Source organism: Homo sapiens, chromosome 2 (assembly GCF_000001405.40).
Source record: "Homo sapiens chromosome 2, GRCh38.p14 Primary Assembly".
NCBI classification, from domain to species: domain Eukaryota; kingdom Metazoa; phylum Chordata; class Mammalia; order Primates; family Hominidae; genus Homo; species Homo sapiens.
In genome coordinates, this window is record NC_000002.12 from 43,412,217 (window position 1) to 43,431,016 (window position 18,800).

The following is an 18,800-nucleotide window of genomic DNA, read 5'->3' on the forward strand; positions in this document are numbered from 1 at the left end:
AGTATCATCTTACTCCCCGGCTTTCTTCCTTGCCTATCAAAATAATACTACTAATAATAAAGTCGGTGCAAAATGTATGAGTCACTCTTCAGTCATGCCAAGTGCATAATCTTCAACCCAAGATTAAAAATAAAGTGCTATGTGTGAAATTCAATACTGTTTAACTTTTGGGTGCTAAAATCTAATAAATATAATATTTCAAAAGAAATTAAACAATCTGGATCACTTCTGTTCATTTTCATGATTTCATCAGCAGATTTCTATGGCTTTGACTACATTTGCTAGTGTTCAGAGCCTGGGTAAACTGGTGGAATTTGGCATCACTTAGTTTATAATCTGTATCACCAGTTCATACAAGTCACAGAAAAGTTCTCCACTCCCCTATATACTTCAAAGCATTTCATTTATTATTCAAATGGTTCTTCTGACAAAACCATTAGTCAAGAAGAAAGTAAAGAAATCTTATTTTTTAAAAGACACACCTTCCACACCAGACTGCTTTAACTAACCATGCTATTCTTGGCAAAGTCTTTATTTCCTAAAGAATACATTTAATTTCAACTTTTCTTACCTCTGAGAAGGTCAGGGCTTGTTTTTACTTGTTTTCACTCAAAGTGAGCTTTTATATATTTTAAGTTTACCTTAACTTCTTCCTAAATCCCTACATCTTCTAGCCTTTTCTAAAGAAAACACTAAATTTAAATATGTGCAAGTTATTGAAGTCATAATGAATGTCTCATAACTACCTTCAAATGATGATAGGCATGAGTGCATGAGTTCAATACACACAGGGAAAAAAGAGACATCTTTTGGTCAGAGTTCTGAGTTAAGGGCATTTGGGGTTAACGATAAAAAAAGCTTCATGATTTGAAATAGGGTTATTTTCTTTATTTCCCTCTCTCCCCTCTTCTCTCCTTTCTATCCTAAAAATTCATACTGTAGCTATGTCATAGGGCTATTTTCTTTATTTTCCCTTTCCTCCCTCCCTTCCTTCTTTCTATCCTAAAATTCATACTGTAGCTATGTTACCAGGTAACATGTTTGCAGGGTCTGAGAAGTTTCTTGGCTTGATGAGAAAAACACAACAGTCTAGTCCTAAAACCCCACCACCACCCCCGCCCCATCACCAGTGAGGCTAAGAGGGCTGGCTGAATCGTAAGTCAGCAGTCTGATTAGCAAAGATGGGTTGGGTTTTGGACAGAACCTAATACAGCAGCATAAGGTGAGATACAAATTTAATACGGTCAAGAAATATATGCTTGGCTACTTAATGGCTGCCAGATACCACAGATGAGGTTGCCTTACCTAATACTACATTTCTAGTTGTGGAACATATCAATATCACTATTTGATAATCAAAGCCTTAGGCACTACTATTTCAGCCATCAAGTGACCCATTGCCACTTCTTTTGGTTCATTTGTAGAAAGAGAGTGGCTATCATGGTTCAGAGTCAATCATTTTCAAGACAGAAAGGGCTCTTTTCCAATCCCAAACTTCCTAGTATGTTTGTATGATGGTGACAAAATGGTCTCTTCATCTTCTTCTGTTCATTAAGGTATTCGGTACTCACAGTCCCACAGTTCTTAAATGGATACATAATGCTTTATATGCAACAGCAATCCCATTCAAAATAATGCAGGCCATGCAGCCCACCCATATTGTACAGTTGGCCCTCAGAATCCTCAAAGGATTGGTTCTAGGACCCGTGAGATGCTCACGTCCCTTATGTAAAGTATGCACAGTATTTGCATATAACCTATGCATATCCTCTGGTACACCTTAAATAATCTCTAGAATACTTATAATATTTAATACAATGTAAATGTTATGTAAGTTGTTATGTTGTATTGTTTTTACATTTGCATTGTGTTTTATTGTTGTGTTTACTTTTTCTCCAAATGTTTTTGATCTACAGTTGGTTGAATCCATAAATGATTGGATGAGGTCCAACTGTATTTGCAACTGTGACTGAAGCACTGGAGCTGTCAGGAAGTAATATTTACTTTTGTTGTGGTAAAACACACATAACCTAAAATTTACCATTTTAACCATTTTTAAGTGTACAGTTCAGTGGCATCAAGTACATTTACCAAGAAGCTTTATTTTAGATTCAACTGGACTCTGGCCTTGATGCGTGGATATCTAGTCATTCATTGGTTGATACTCACGTCTTCACAGAGATACATGTCATTCTATTTCCAGGTAACCTCTTGGCTAGGTATTCGAAGTCAGAGTTCATCCAACATACTATGGTTTGTATGCTTGAGGTGAGGAATGAACCACCAAAATGAAGCATTTGTCTATTTCCTTCCAGATGAAAGATAGAAACTTTGATCTTCTCTTCCTTGCCATTAAACCTTTCAGAAAATAAGGAACCCACTATTCCTTGACCTTTGGGATTTTTACAAACTTCAGACTTCAGTTCAGAACACAGACTAGAAACTGTCCAAGAAAAACATGCCCCAAATGAACAGGATATAAACAAAACTGTAACTAGGTAATTAATGGTAGGGACTTGACTCCCCTCACTGCTTCTCTGATAACAATCTGGCACTTTATCAGCAGGGTCTTTTATCTGGAAGGATTCACTGTGTTCTGCTGCTTGGAACTATTCTGGGAGGGCACAAAGACAAGCTTTCATCTTAGAAAGGAAATGGAACTACATCTAGAAGGGGTAAGAAAGAGTTAAAGCTGTAAAAAGAACTCCAAGTCTTTCCCTGCCAGAAAGGAGAGGTGAATGGAAAACACGATGCCATGCTTCACTGAAAACATGAGAGCAAATTCTAATGGGAAAGAAATCACTGCAGTCTTCCAAAGGTGGCAACTTGCTTTCTCCCTTTGTTTCGAGTTCTACATTTTCTCCCCAACGTATTCTATTTATCTTCCTGTCAAAACCAAAGAAACGTAAACTAATTCATACTATGGCATAAATGACTACTAATAACTTTTAAGTAATTTATGTTTCATTGAGATGTCCATTTTAGAAGGGATCAAAACCATATACTAAAAGAATGAAAATCTACAAGGTTTAGCTCATAATGGAGGAGGCATCTGAGAAAATTAAGTGGGTAGAGGGCACTGCTTATGACCTGTCAAATCATTTAATATAGGTTTCAATTACCCTAGGGGTAAAGCTGGTCTGGGTCAGTGACTACAGTGGAGTCACATCTGGCCCTTCCAGTGGCATCATTCCTAGGGAAAAAGGGACTGTTAATGGGAGTATGTATTCATTAGTAGTAGTAGAACGTGCTCCCTTTATTCCCTCTCCAAGCATGGGCACTCCACTCAGATCTCATAACAATGTCGTGGACTGGTTATGGAAGAACTCAGGAAAAAACAGGGATTTAAATTCCTCATCCTACTTAGAACTCAGGAATATTTATCCAAGGTTGGGCCAGGGTGGGTGGCCAATTACAAAATCTAGAGCCTGGGGCTTCTGTGCCAGATCATGGATTGCCCAGCGACACTAGTTCTCTTCTGTCAGGCTGTGGAGCCCCCGAGGTTCATATCTAGGGCCCTCGTGACGCTTCACGGTGGGTCAGGCAAGGAGGAGGACACAAGGAAGCTGCTCTGCTGGCTAGCTTTCAACGGGGAATTCTATCAGGACATGGCATTCTAAAGCTGCTACTTTAGAGACATGTTCAACCACGCAGCAGAATGCAAATCTCTCTCTAGTCAAGCTTTTCTTAAGTCCAGTTTTCATTCTGGCTACAAATTAAATTCTGATGTCTTAAATCACACAGAAAAAAGGGTGGGGGGATAATAAATGATTGAATTATAATAATTATATGACCCTGAAGCTTAACTAGAAAAAATAATTCTATTTCTTAAGTTTCTCTTCAGTAGAATTATGCAGGTTATAATTAGTATTAAGTCAATTTTACTTTTCATTTTATCCAAACCAGAAAGAAGCTGAGCAAAAGGGATTCTCCTGGGAAAAAAATGAATAAACATTCAGGCAAGAAACAAACCAATGCTACCCACACATCACCCAAAAAGACAGATTATTGTCTGAAAATATTGTCTGTCCACTGCTTTGTAAATTCTTTTCTTGTCTGTGGTGACACATCTGTCAGTAACAATTCAACTTTTCCTGGGCTACCTGGATATATTTTTCCACAGTTTCTGCTAAAACAGATGCTTCTTTCCTGTATGATTTAATAACCAAAAGGGAGCAGGCTTATTTACACAGTAGCCTGTAGATTTCATACAAATATATATTTTGTTAATGCTCCGGACACTGTAGAAACTGAACAGAAAAATCTCATTAATGTTTCTTGGTTTTGTGATTATTCAGACTGAGGCCTACTACAGCCTACTGTAGGACTGAGAGTTTTCAACTAAAGTAGACAAAAATGTGGCATCTCTTGGGGGCTGGTGGTCAGGGCACAAATGTCCCAGATCAGGAATTTTCCCTAATGCAAAAACCCCAGGGGACACATCTCATCCTCCGTGTACCCTCCACACAGGTTTTGGCTGGTAACCTTTGGATAATTATGAAAAGAGGGCAGTAGGACTATGTACATAAAAGATATAAAATTGGCAAACCAAGGGCGGTGTGAACCCACTTCAGAGGCCTTGGAGTACAGATGATCAACTAACAACCAGATGCTATTGTTACTTATCCATTAAAGCAGTTTCCTGAAGTTATTATATGCAATCTTAAGTAACAAAACCTTCCTTTCATACTATTCAGTAATGTAAACGCTTCACAGATTTAGATTTCCTTTTTTTCCAAATCAGTTTACAATTACTGCATAAGAAAACATTGGCAATTTAAAAAAGTTTCAACACGAATTGATATCCTCATGGCTGTTTTCTTTTTTTTTTTTTTTTTTTTTTGAGACGGAGTGGCTGTTTTCTTTATAAGAGAGTAAAAAGAGAAACAATCAAGTTACTATATGTGAAAGTACACTCTAAACTTAAATTCTTATGTAAACATTTGCTATTATTGTTTTTTTTTTCTAGCAACCCTAAAGATTTTCAAAATTACGTAAAGCAGTGGAAACTTAAGATGACATACTAAAGACAGATAGAAAACATATTTTCTAAGAGTTTAAAAATTATGCATAAATAGCAGCCCACAAATAATCTCATTAAGATTTTAGGCTTCTTAGCCTCAAGCCACATTCTCTCTTTACTAAGACACTTATAACTGTGCAATGACCCATGATTTCCTATTATAATAAGGAAAATTTCCTTTGTAAGAAATTCTCAGTGTTTCTCAAGAATCTCAAAACTTCAGTTGAGCCAGTTTTATTTAGCAACCTGTCACAACCACTTAAGCTTTATTGCAAGTTTTTCTTCCTTTTCTCCTGATTTCAGATTAGAAAATGAGACTACTGCCAACGAAATGCCCAAGGGGGGAAATATCTCAAGAAAGCAAAGTAAGTCCAAATGTTTGTTAGGTAAAGCTGCAGGTTAATTTTGGCATGCTGAGAACTACCCTGTCATACTTCACAGACACAGCATCATAAACAGATGAGCAAAAGCAAGTATTACAGTGTTAAGAGCTAGAATAGCTAAAGCAGTCGCTAACAGCATGGGTTCTAGAGTCAGATTGTTTGGGTTCAAATTCACGCCTTATCACTACCAGTATGAGCTAGGTAGGACACATTTAGAAAGTTCCTACTGCCCAACATTCCCCCCCTCTGTGGAATGGGATAGTAACGACAATGACTTGATAGTGCTGTCATCATGATTAAATGAGTTAATATGTGTAAAGTCCTAAAATATTGCCTGGCTTATAGTAAACATTTGCTAATTATTATCATTTATCACTAATCAGGATGGAAAAAATAGGAGCAAAGAAGAGATAAGAAGCATCGTCAAAAAGGATACCTCATTATGCCAAAAACTGTATCTGTCTGATTCACCACTCTGTTTCTAGTGCCTGAAACATAATTGTTTTCAATAAATATCTGTTGAGTGAATGAATAAATGAATTTGCCCTGACTCCTTAGGGAGTCACTTTTTGAATGTGGGCATATTATGTCTACTCTCTCTGGGCCTTGGCTTTTCACCTCCAAAGAAAGGAACAAGCACCTGCTACTTGCTACCTCAAACTGATGATAATCAACGTAAGAAGCAAAGCAAATCATTTCAAGCTTACTGGAGCGCTTTCAGAAGTCAGTGATTTTTTAAACCAATGCTCCTTTGTTACTGGGTATGCATGAACACAGTCACTGACAGCGGGAGGAACCTCTGTGCCACCCTGAGTCCTGATTCTGATATGTTTCCCTTAAAGAAGTTCCCTGACTGCAGCTAGCCAGGTAGAGCAAGATGTCAGACATTGTACTAGGCCCTAAAAGAAGGCTGTTCAAACTTCAGTGTGCAGAGGTAATTGAAATTCTCAACTTTTGGATGTGTGTGAGACATGCAGAAGAAGCTGTCCAATAGAAAGTTGAACTTGTGATTCTATATGAGTTCTAGATCTAGGACCAGGTAAGTGTAGGTGAGTGATAACCCCAGAGAGAGCATGCAAAGTGAAAAAGAAAAGGTTTGAGGGCAGGACAAACAGGTATACCAATGTTTGAGAGGCAGCGGGAGGAAGGGGGCCCTCCAAGGAGAGATAGAAATAACGGCCAGAGAAGCCACAGAAGAAAGAACTCAAGAAGAAAGGAGTCTGCAATAGCATCAAACACCAGAGAAAAAGCAGAAATGAGAAGGAATGAAAAGCACCCAGTGGCTTTTTTAATAAGGAGGTCACTCCTATTTGTTGGTGCAGTTTAGTGAGGCAGTGGAAGAAGCGGCCAGGCTGCAGTGGGTTAAGAAGGGGAAAAATGGAGACTAAACACAGACCACCTTTTCCTAGAGCCTGGCTATAAAACAAAGGAGAGGACTGTGGGTGGAGTGGGTTTCTCCATGGACAGAACCCACACCTGATGGCCTCCACATCTTCTCTTGCAAATGAGAGGTGATGAGAGTAGGGGTGTTGGGTTGGGCAAGGGCACAAAGTAGGCCCTCAGTAAATACACTTAATGGAAGGATGAACTGGTGATGAAGAGTGATCACAATATAAAGAGACAGAGAAGAATAAATGGTGAAGAAGAGAATGTCTATAACTGGTTGGAAGGGAGGCAAGATGAGCAGTCAAGAGTCACAATGTTCAAAGTGAGTGAGGAAGGAAAAAGTAAAAGGACGTGAGGGTGAAGGTATCCTGAGCAGCTGATGTAACATGTGTAGCTTGTTTTTACTAGAAGATTAGAAATAGACGGTGGGGGCCAAGGCCCAGAGGGAAAGGGAAAACCCATTCCAGTCAGAGAAAGCTAACCGAAACACACTATGTCATTATTTTTCCTTGTCCTCATTTGAAGCCTTCTATAATTTATCTTTACCTTCTTATTCTATTTCCCAATTCTTATTTTCTTCTGGAAGAAAAAAACACATTTTTGATCTAAAATGTTCTCTACTGTGTAGGATGACTGCCTATCAGTCAGCATTTGGGGCTTGGTAATGTGAAATCCTTCAATTCAGCATTAAAAATGCCTGCAGAGCACCTTTGCTACAATTTTTGAGAAACAATTTAAGAACAAGGAAATAAAAGTTCTGTATGGAAAAACACTGTTAAGATACTTTAAAATGTTAAGTATTACTAAATTTAAATTTTTTTTCCCACTACAATTCATTACTTCCACAAGACTTAAATGCAACACTCAGGACAAATACTGTTCTTTATTAAAGTTACCAAAGGTGCACCATCAATGGTTTCTCCTGTTAAATAGCAAACCATTTATTTTGTGAATTTCCTGGGTCGCCCTTGGTTCAAGTGGAAGCAAAGCTCTTTATGATGCCTTCCAAGTTATGAATCATAAAACTCTCCATCACAATCTTCCCCTTGTTGGATCCCCCTGACTTTTCACTCCTCTCACATGACTTGTTAATCACCATGGGTGATTTCTAAAAGTCCCTGAGATGGCAGACTGAACTCCCACATTTCTTCCTGCCTTGCTATTTGGGAAAGCCTCCCGGACTTCTCCAACCCACTGATGCTCTTCCCCTTCTTTGTAGGCCTCAGTCCTTAGTGTATATGTCATATAATTAAGTGGTTAATATACACGGTATCAGGTTCACAAGCATGTATTTTACCTTATTAGCTAGACGGTAAGTTCTTTAAGCATAAAGACATTTTTCTTTACTTTGCATCTTACCCAAGACCTAACACTAGCTAGGTACACAATGAATGTTTAACAAATACTTGGTTACTCAATTAACTGATTAGATTCTAACTTCTAGTATGAATGGCAGCAATAGGCCATAGATTATCATCATTGTCAGAAATTTCACCTAAGAATGGGACTGTGTGCAGATCAAATCACTTGTTCTAACATGACCTAAACTGGCCTGTTGGGATAACAGATAACACTGAAGAAAAGCTGGTCCCTACAAGTTCTGTTTTTCTAGTTTGCTTTGTCAATGCATTCCATAAGAGGTGAACTCCTCATTCCTTCTGCTCAAAAACATATTTAGAAAATGGTCTTAAAGAGATCTGGCACCAGAAATGAAGTTGGCCAGGCCCCTATCTAGGAACTAACAGATAAAAATTGGTGACAGATAACAAGGTATCTTTTTATGCCAGAACTATTTGCAAAAAAAGACACATAATGCAAAACATAATTTCATACTACATGCTGAACCTCAGCTACCCTGGGTAGAATTCAGAAATTCAGAGGGCCATGAGTACAGCCCTCCAAATAAAGTGCTAGGCACAGTAAAAAGGAGGCAGAGTAAGTAGCTGCCCAAACAATGTGATTTCCCCAGCAATAGGAAACAACCTTCCAATCTCTGCTTCTAGATCCTCCCTATATAAGGCCTAAAACACCACCATTAGAGTTTTACTGCTTTATTTCAAAATGTATGTATCTGTAATATACAAATACCCCATGGAAGATAACACTGGGGGCATTTACATGTTTTGCAAGTTTGGCCTATAAGCAAAGAAGAAAACTGAGCAGCACTGAACACCTGTGCCTCAACAATCTGGTCCCAAGCCTGACCTGGTATCAGACAGTCACATAGTGAAACCAAGGGGCCAGGGTTTCCACAGAATTATGGGATAGCAGAACCCTTTTTTCACCCAACAACTGTTAGCAGATTAGGATGGCTGGGCAGCGGGGGAAGGGTGGGGGCATACTCCTTTCCTATAATTCCCTTCTCTGAACCTCATGGAATTTAGTAGTAACCACAGACCAGGTAGAGTGCTGGCCAGGGCAGGAAGTTCTATGTCAACAGTACTGGCAAAGCCCTATTTCTCAGGTGTTTCTACTTGTAATGAGCAAGGCTTGGAGACCCCTGTACTCTCTCTCCAGGCAACTCTGTTCAAGATACTTTGGGAAATTGGGACAATAAAGAGTTATCTACTATAACCACTCTTTAGAAAAGCATCTCTGACTTCTCAAAGACTCAGATGTTCTTTTGCTTGTCAGAAAATGTGGCTTAAGCCAACATCTGGAATGGAGAAAAATACAGGAACCACAAAAAAAGGTAATTAAATTAATAAAGAATGCTTTTCAGACATAACATCTCATAGGCCAAAAATATGTTTTCAGAACTATCCAGAACACAGTTACAGAAGTTACTTAAATGCTAAATTTTAGTAGATTAATTCCTGGAGGGTGCCATTTAAGAGCAAACCACTGTGACTTTTTGGGCCATGCCAAGAATGGCATCCCAACTTCTTTTCTTTGAGAGATCGAAGGACCCATAAACAAAAATGTACAAATATTGTCACAGGATTAGAGGCAGGTTGATCATTTCATTCACTGAACATTCAGAATCCACAGCTGAGTTGTTCACCTATTCTGAAATAAGGCATGCCAAACAGATACCTTGATGATATCCAGTCCAACCTCAGGTGCGCTGCAGATATATGCTCAACATGTGATCAGTTTTCCTTGAAAACTTAACACTTTTGCTGATGGGCAAACTCAGTATTATGGAAATATGTTCTTTTCCTTGATAGAGAATACTAATTTTCACAAAATTCTTCTTTAAATTAAAAGCTGAAATCTATCTTCCATTTTCCCATTGGGAGCAAAAAAGAGAAATTATGCGCCTTCTACCATATGGCAGTCTCTCAAGTATATAAAGACCATTATCATGTTGCCACTAAGTCTTCTCCAGTCTAACTGTTTCCAGATGTTTGGTTTCCTCCTCATCTTGGTCACCTCCCCTCGACAGATACTAGTTCTTCAGTGACCTTCCTAAAATGGGGAGCCCAGAACAGAATAATAAGGAGAATAATGTGGGTTTAGGCTAACCAACAGAGTTCAGGGGGACTACAGCCTCCACTATCTGGAAGCAGCAACAGTGTCATGCTGCTTTCTCATGGTTCACCAGGATATCTCATTCACCAAGATATTTTTTCCCCCACAAAAACTGCTATGAAGCCAGATAGCCCTCATTTTGTATGTATATAATTTTGACTTTTCTTTAAAAAATCAGAATGATATATATCTCTATTAAATGTTATCTTGATAGTCTCATCCCATCAATCCAGTCTTTCAAGGCTTTTTTGGGGGACAGGGTCTCGCTCTGTCACCTAGGCTGCAGTGCAGTGGCCCAATCACAGCTCACTTGAGCTGCCTTGACCTCCTGGGCTCAAGCAATCCTCCCACCGCAGCCTCCCAAGTAGCTGGGACTACAGGCGCAAATCACCAAGTCTGGCTAATTTTTAAAATTTTTTGTAGAGACAGGTTCTCCTTATGTTGCCCAGGCTGGTCCAGGCTATTTCGAATCTTACTTTTAAATGATGAACTGCATCAGACATACAAAATGATGACAACAACGAAAAGAATCTAGAGAATAGGATGACATTCAAGCATTTGCCCAATGCCCAATTTAAGAACACATCACAAATAAAATTGTAGCTTCTAGTACATGGCTCCTCAATTTCACCCCTTTCCTCCCCATTCAGAGGTAATGGTCTTATGCCTGAATTTGTGTTTGTCAGTCCTATGCTTGAAGGTTATTTTGAATCTTAATTTGCTCACAAATTTGATAAGCATGCAATCTAGCTTGCCTTCATTTTTTTTATGGCTACTTTTAGCCATTAACAGCATAATCATAAAGCATCATGCTATAAAGTTGCAAGAGATTCTTTCCCTATCTCCTCAAAAGAATTTTCACTTGGACTTTCCAGCATTTGAAGCTATGTCACCAGCATCAGTCTTTTGACTTCATATACCTACCAAATAAGTAGCTTTACTTTCTTTCTTTCTTTTTTTTTTTTTTTGAGACGGAGTCTTGCTCTGTCACTCAGGCTGGAGTGCAGTGGCACAATCTCTGCTCACTGCAAGCTCTGCCTCCTGGGTTCACACCATTCTCCTGCCTTAGCCTCTCGAGTAGCTGGGACTACAGGCGCCTGCCACTATGCCCGGCTAATTTTTTGTATTTTTGGTAGAGACGAGGTTTCACCGTGTTAGCCAGGATGGTCTCGATCTCCTGACTTGGTGATCCGCCCGCCTCGGCCTCTGAGACCTGATTCGTCTAAGCTCTCCTGGGCCTTTGTTCAGGATTCTATGGTCCTAGGTTTGAGGCATATGTGGTTACCTAGAGCTCTTTGACTGGAACTTGAAACTTGCTTGTGAAAGGGAACTCAGAGATGTATGCCCAGGGACTTTTTGGCCTCTGAAAAGACTTTCTAGTCTCTAGAAAGCCCAGAGAAGCAGGCCCTGGTGAGCTGCATTCAGAGAGCCAGTCAAGGTTCTTTTTAAAGCATGAATTATTCTGCTTTGTGGTACCTGAACTGAAGAATGAATTAATGGTCTTAAATTGAAAGCATCACATTCACATGGTAAAGGGCTTTGTATCTGGATGCAGCACAACATCAGAACATAAAATACACTGGATTTTTTAAAAGTTGTATACAAGATGTTGGGATTGACATTATAAGTTCTGTCCCAAGAGGATGCAACAATCATAATGGCATATATGTTTAGGTATACTCTTAAACATGGGATAAAGGAGTAAAACTACATATAATACTTATAAATACCTTACAGAGAGGAAGGAAATAGCAGGTAAGTACACATAAATCAAAGGGAAACAAAAAGCTCTTGTTGGCGCTTTTAATCTTCTTCTCATTGTGCAATTCACTTTTAGCAGTCAGAGCAACCTTTGCACTACTCCCACAAACTGAAATTTTTTTCTTTGGCCAAACTCATAGTATCCATGAGCCTGATGAAAACCCTTCCAAGTACATAAATTACCCTTAACAACGGTACAAAAATAAAACACTGCTGACCCACTGTGCATACACCCATCCATCTTTTTAGCTATTACCCCAAGTCAAAACAGCCCACTCTTTACCACAATCAGAACCACAAGCACTGCCTGGAATGACAGGTTTTATGATCAGCCTTCCACTTTCTTCATGAATAATATTCTCAGAGGTCATCTAAATCAAATGCATACAGTTTTATCACATTCACTGCTTTTTAAAAATCTGTTTATAGTTCACCTCGCCAGTGAACATTTTGGGGTAGCATGGGTTTTCCCTGTGGTAGGCTGATGAAACCCCAAACTAACTAAATCTAGGGCCTTCCACTTTACCACAGAAGGTGGCCAAGAAAGAAGAGCCAGGCTTCTACTGTATCTGGCCACAAACCAGTCCTATAACCCCAGGCGATTGTCACCATGTGCCACACATGGTTAACCAATCCAATCAGTCACTTTTCCTACAGGAAAAGCAAAATAAGGAACAGATCCCACCATTGGTAGAGACATTACGTCTATATCCAGAAGACAGCCTGTACTCAGATACAGCAGCTGTGGATATAGGCTCCTCATCTCTCTCAGTTGCATACATTTCAGACCCTATAGGTCCATTCCGTGTAGCTAAGTTACTGGCTACTCAAAAGGCAACCAAAAAACAAGGTTATTTTGGTATAACAGAAAGAGTACATCTAACACCCTTGACAAGCCCTGCACTCTTGGGTTCAAATTCTAGCTCTGTAACTGCCTTGCTCTCTGAACCTCAATTTCCTCAACGGGCAAATGAGGGTGATAACACCTCTTCTCAGAGTCACTGTAAGTAAAATGACCAGTTCAATACTTGGCAGAAAGACGGGGCTCAACAAAGGTTGGTCTACTTCCTACTGACTTCTCTGCTCAGAACACTTTCTTTCTTGTTTTCTGCATTCCTGGGTCAAAATCTACTTCTTAATAAATTCCTTAAACTGCCTAACCAATTTTAATAAGCTACTACTGTCTAGCTTGTTAAAATTGTATGTGTGTGTGTGTGTGTGTGTGTGTGTGTGTGTGTGTGTGTGATGGTATTAAATTTAATATCCCAAGTTTAATTTTGCTACTCAAAATGTGATCTACAGACCAGCAGCAGTGGCATTATCTGGAAGACCATTTGGAAGTCGGACTCTCAGGCCTCACCTCAGATTTACTGAAATCAGAATTTATATGATAGCCAAGTGATATGTTTACATCTTAAAGTTTTAGAAACACTGTTCTATAACACACATGGACAGTCAATAAGTCAGAGCCTAGGCTCTGTACTTAAGGAATCAAGGGTGGTGCTTCTGCTTACAGGACATTTTGCTTACAGTGACTCTCAGAAGATGTGTTATCACCCTCATTTGCAAGTTGAGGAAATTGAGGTTCAGAGAGCAAGCAAGGCAGTTACAGAGCTACAATTTGAACCCAAGAGTGCAGGGCTTGTCAAGAGTGATAGATGTGCTCTTTCTGTTACACCAAAATAACCTTGTATTTTGGTTGGTGGCACTTCTGCTGTTGGTGATGTTCTATGAATCTACTTCATAAAGCACCTTACTTACTGGAAGAAAGCAACTACAACCGCAGCATTTTCTTTCACTGGAAGAACAGACTGATTGCAAACTTCTTACTTTGTATTTTTAGAGGTTAACAAATGATGCCCTAAGTACACTGGCTTCAAAGCAATATTTAAATTTTCTATATTAATGCAATCTTTGTTTTATATAATGGATACTTTGAATATAATGAGTAGTATCAGCATTCTGATTATATGTAAACTAAGCAACATTTTGGAAAGGTACTTTCAGGTACCACTGAAAGGTACTTTCAATGTAGTAATTTATTATTTCTAGGATGCAATGAACAACAGACTGAGTAGTAAAAAGCTTCCACAAATTCAATGTTCTTAAGACAGAGCACAGGTTCTAAAGCAAATCTCTGTTTCTAATGTAAACTGCAATTCTGTGCACATGCCTTTCCTCCTTGCATCAACTTTCTGAAAACATTTCTTAGTTCTTTCCACTTATTCATGAAAGAACAATTTTTAAGGCCCCTGAAAGTAAAATTTACCACCCAAATTCCTAAAATGAATCACCAAATGCCAGATGAAGGAGACTGGTAACTTTGTATATCAGGAAACAAAAACCAGTCTGCCTGAGTCATCTCTGTGATCAAAGATAACACAGCCACAGCCAAGGCTTGGCGCAAACAAATAGCTCTGCAAGCGCATGCCAGAACCTCATGTTTAATGGTTTTCTCACATTAAAATGCATAAGTCAGCTCTGTGAAACAAGGAAGTGAAACCTAGGACACTACATACATAAGAAATACTCTCTTGAGTTTGGTTTCTTACCCTTCTGCTCCAAATCCACTTCAATTTTTGGTAGAAACACAAAAATGAAGGTACTGTTTTGTCAAGAGCTAAGCAGAAAGGTAATAGCTAACTAATATGATAGGCTTCTGAAAGGTTTCATGAGAAAATTTTAATACTTCTTGGAGGCCTACATATTTAGGCCTTTGATCCAAAATGAACAAAGTAATCAGAAGACGGCAAATGCCTGAAAAGATGTAACACAAGAAGTGGTAATAGGCTCTAAAAGAAGAGAACCCTGTTATATTATTTCATGAATACTCTATATTCATGGCTTTTTTCAGGTACTACAAACGTAAAAGAGAAGACGAGTGGGAATTCATGCCACATGGCATTACCATTTACATGCCACCCATTGCACCGGCTCGCAGACTCTTCCAGAGTGAAGAGGCAGATGTCCTGACATCCTCTCGAACCCGTGGACAGAAGATACATACCAGAACCAAGCCTGCTCCGTGCTAGCCAGGCTCAACACAGGAATAACGCAAACATGGGGCTATGTCTTTCAAAAGGAGTATCTCCTATCAACACCATCCACCTGCCTTGGAGCAGACAGGGCTCAAAGAAAACATTACTTACACAGGTTCTAATGAGATCCTGTACCCACAATATAAGCACCTTACTCTGAAACACTGGGGGCAATGGCAGGAAAACCCAGGCCTCTGCTTTCACAAGACCCCTCCCAAAGTTTGTGTGTGTGTGTGTGTGTGTGTGTGTGTGTGTATACAAGTTATATATATATACACGCACACACACAATAGTTATATACAAAAGTTTTACATATAATATATATAATAGTTATATATATAATAGTTTTTAATATATACAATAGGTTTACATATATAAAAAAATATATAATATGGCCGGGCGCGGTGGCTCATGCCTGTAATCCCAGCACTTTGGGAGAATGAGGTGGGCGGATCACAAGGTCAGGAGATCGAGACCATTCTGGCTAACACAGTGAAACCCCATCTCTACTAAAAATACAAAAAATTATCCAGGCGTGGTGGCGGGTGCCTGTAGCCCCAGCTACTCCGGAGGCTGAGGCAGAAGAATGGCGTGAACCTGGGAGGGGGAGCTTGCAGTGAGCCGAGATCGCGCCACTGCACTCCAACCCAGGCGACAGAGCGAGACTCCGTCTCAAAAAACAAACAAACAAACAAATAATATATATATATAAAATATATATGATATATATAAAATAGTTTCTGAAATAAGAAGAAGATAAAATATTCCCGTAAAACTCCCACGCCAACCTAGACAATTTCTACACAGCATGACACTACCTCATAATGAAGGGAACAAAAGGTCCCATGCTGAGAGCAGAAGAAGTACCATCCATCGGGGAAGCGTAGAGTCTCTCCAACACCAAAAGTAAGAGAAACATGCTTGGATGACGATTTGGTTCTCCCATATCACTGAAACAACAATTATTACACATGAAAGATTTCACATTTAGGTAGTGAAGCACTCCTCCTTCAAACATTTTTCTCATGAAATAATTATGTATATGGCCGGGTGCGGTGACTAATGCCTGTAATCCCAGCACTTTGGGAGGCCGAGGCGGATGGATCACGTGAGGTCAGGAGTTCAAGACCAGCCTGGCCAATACAGTAAAACCTCATCTCTACTAATACAAAAAACTAGCCGATGTGGTGGCGCATGCCTGTAATTCCAGCTACTCGGGAGGCTGAGGTGGGAGAATCACTTGAACCTAGGAGGCGGAGGTTGCAGTGAGCCAAGATCACGCCACTGCACTCCAGCCTGGGTGACACAGTGAGACTCCATTTCAAAAACAAAATTATGTATATGAAGTGAGACTCCACAATCAAGGGGATAGTTTTCCTTTTTTCTTTTTTTTTTCTACGTTCACTTCTTATCTCCCAAATGTGCATCATAAGAAAAAACTACTAGCAAAACAGGGAAATGGGCTTTCGTACAGGATCCTCTTCTCAAAGCTTATCATTTACATAATTAGAGTACGCTATTTTGATTAGAACTGTTCCTACAGTAGAGACGTGCCTGTTCCACAGTATGAAATGTGAAACTTTCAACATCCAAATGTATTTAAGAAAGCATGAATAGTCACTAAAGGCCAGAAAAGCACATTAGCATAAACTACTAATGTGAGCAAATGCATCATAACCAGAAGTAAAATTCATTACTTTTATTTTCTAATTATAAACAATTAGTGTACATTCATACCAAGTGCAAAATTATAGGAAAAATACAAAAGACATGCTTTATGATGTCCATACTAAAAATTCCACTACCAGCTTCAGAATGTGTGTGTGTTTTTTTTTTCTTTTTTTGAGACGGAGTATTTTTCTGTCACCCAAGCTGGAGTGCAGTGGCAAGATCTCAGCTCACTGCAACCTCTGCCTCCTGGGTTCAAGTGATTCTCCTACCTCAGCCTCCCAAGTAGCTGGGATCACAGGTGCGCACCACCAGCCTGGCTAATATTTGTATTTTTAATAGAGACAGGGTTTCGCCATGCTGGCCAAGCTGGTCTTGAACTCCTGACCTCAGGTGATCCACCTGCCTTGGCCTCCCAAAGTGCTGGGATTACAGGTGTGAGCCACCACACCAGCCAGAATGTGATTTTTAAGACAATGGTGAACTATAAGACTGGAAAGCCCTCGTAATGGCTTTGCTCTGTGTTTCCAAGAACACTGGCCATTTCTGCTCAGGTAGACAAGAACCATTTCTGAACACAAGTGATCATATTAGTCAGCTAATCGCTATAGTTTCACAATGGTAAGTTGCAACAAGCCAGTAATAAAAAATGACAGGTATGCATAAAGCAAACTCAATATGTAAACACAGATTTTTTTAAAAATAGGAAGAAAATAATTCATAACAGAAGAAATCACCATGTGATTCCTAGTTTCTGTACCACCGAAAATGGAATTAAGTTTGATAAAATTTAACATAAAATAGCATTTTTAAAATATAAAGACAGGATTTTACATAACTTTTCAGGTACAAATTTACTACAGAGAACCAAGCAATATGATATAATTACAAAAAAGCACTTTAATAAAAAAGCCAATTTTATGCAAGGAAGCAGTCTGACCGTGCACAGTGGCTCAAGCCTGTAATCCCCACACTTTGGGAGGCCCAGGTGGGCAGATTGCTTGAGCTCAGGAGTTTGAGACCAGCCTGGGAAACATGACGAAACCCCATCTCTACAAAAAATACAAAAATGGGCAAGGAGTGGTGGCCACCACTGTACTCCAGCTTGGGTGACAGGGAAAGACCCTGTCTCAAGGAAAAAATTTAAACAAATTTAAAAAAGGGAAGAATTTTATTAAAAACAGCTGCCTAGAGGGAAAATCTCAATTACTAAGGTAATTCACATCCTTGAGGTCATTTTGCCCCACCCAATTCTCTTCTTACCTGTCTACTGTATTGGCTACAGTTTCCAACTGTTTGAGAAGAAAAGGATAGAGTTCTGGGAAACGAGAGAAAAACTCTCTCCCTGTCATTCTGTGAAAGAAGGAGGAAAAAATTTATTATCATTTATTCCCTTTGATCTGACAATAAAGCCTTTTTTTTAAAAAAAGGAAGATAAGTACGGTTGTTTGGATATTTAATTAAATACAGTTAAAAACAGAATCTACAGCATCTTAAGAATTTAACAATCAACACAAATGGTAATTCTGATTTCTGAAGTGCTCTCAATCCATGAACTTTTATCTCAAAATTTAAGATTATGTATGTTTACAAATATTTGATATTAAATTTTATCAGGGAAGAAATATGTAATCTGTGCCAATGCCAAGTTTCCACAACTGATTTGGACTATAAGTAGAGTCAACACCAGATTGACTGAGACTGACTCAGCTTCAGTGATAAGGACAGGTCTAGAACAAGCGTTCCCAACCCTGGCACCAATGACAGTTTGGACCAAATAACTCTTTGTTTCAGGGGACTGTCCTACACATTGTGGGATGTTTAGCAGCCTCCGTGGCTTCTACCCACTAGATGCCAGCAGCACAACACCCCTCCCCAACAATCATGACAATGAAAATGTCTTTAGACATTGCCAAATATACCTTGTGGGACAAAATGGCCCCTGATTGAGAACCACTGGTTTGGAGTATGGTTATGAGAAGTACAGTCTTGGCATGTGAAGTTCTGGAAATCTAATCCTTGCTGAACTTGTAAGAATTATCTTTTTCAACTTTATAAAAACTTCTC

At 39.2% G+C, this 18,800-nt stretch overlaps 1 protein-coding gene across 7 annotated transcripts in view, besides 4 other annotated features; it reads right to left on the reverse strand.

Annotated features, from left to right (window-relative positions):
- Positions 1–18,800, reverse strand: part of THADA (THADA armadillo repeat containing) — a 365,188-nt gene that overhangs the window by 181,366 nt on the left and 165,022 nt on the right. For 6 of the 7 annotated variants that reach the window (NR_144316.2, NM_001345924.2, NM_001345923.2 and 3 more), the window contains 2 exons: positions 17,997–18,086; positions 15,884–16,015 (listed from right to left, as the gene is read on the reverse strand). Coding sequence is in view for 5 of the 7 variants with exons in the window: in NM_001345924.2 (NP_001332853.1) it covers positions 15,884–16,015; positions 17,997–18,086 (222 nt within the window). In the remaining 2 variants the exon portion in view is untranslated. The remainder of the gene's footprint in view (positions 1–15,883; positions 16,016–17,996; positions 18,087–18,800) is intronic. The other variant, NR_073394.2, reaches the window with a different exon arrangement.
- Positions 13,762–13,841: an enhancer, noted in NCBI's record as "active region_15673". NCBI's record gives its function as "activates an Ori minimal core promoter by ATAC-STARR-seq in GM12878 lymphoblastoid cells {active_cell/tissue: GM12878}" and the evidence as "EXISTENCE:reporter gene assay evidence [ECO:0000049][PMID:35858748]".
- Positions 13,880–15,079: an enhancer, noted in NCBI's record as "CDK7 strongly-dependent group 2 enhancer chr2:43653235-43654434 (GRCh37/hg19 assembly coordinates)". NCBI's record gives its function as "activates an origin of replication core promoter dependent on BRD2, BRD4, P300/CBP, MED14 and CDK7 cofactors, with strong dependence on CDK7, by STARR-seq in HCT116 cells {active_cell/tissue: HCT116}" and the evidence as "EXISTENCE:reporter gene assay evidence [ECO:0000049][PMID:35650434]".
- Positions 14,234–14,323: an enhancer, noted in NCBI's record as "active region_15674". NCBI's record gives its function as "activates an Ori minimal core promoter by ATAC-STARR-seq in GM12878 lymphoblastoid cells {active_cell/tissue: GM12878}" and the evidence as "EXISTENCE:reporter gene assay evidence [ECO:0000049][PMID:35858748]".
- Positions 14,344–14,403: an enhancer, noted in NCBI's record as "active region_15675". NCBI's record gives its function as "activates an Ori minimal core promoter by ATAC-STARR-seq in GM12878 lymphoblastoid cells {active_cell/tissue: GM12878}" and the evidence as "EXISTENCE:reporter gene assay evidence [ECO:0000049][PMID:35858748]".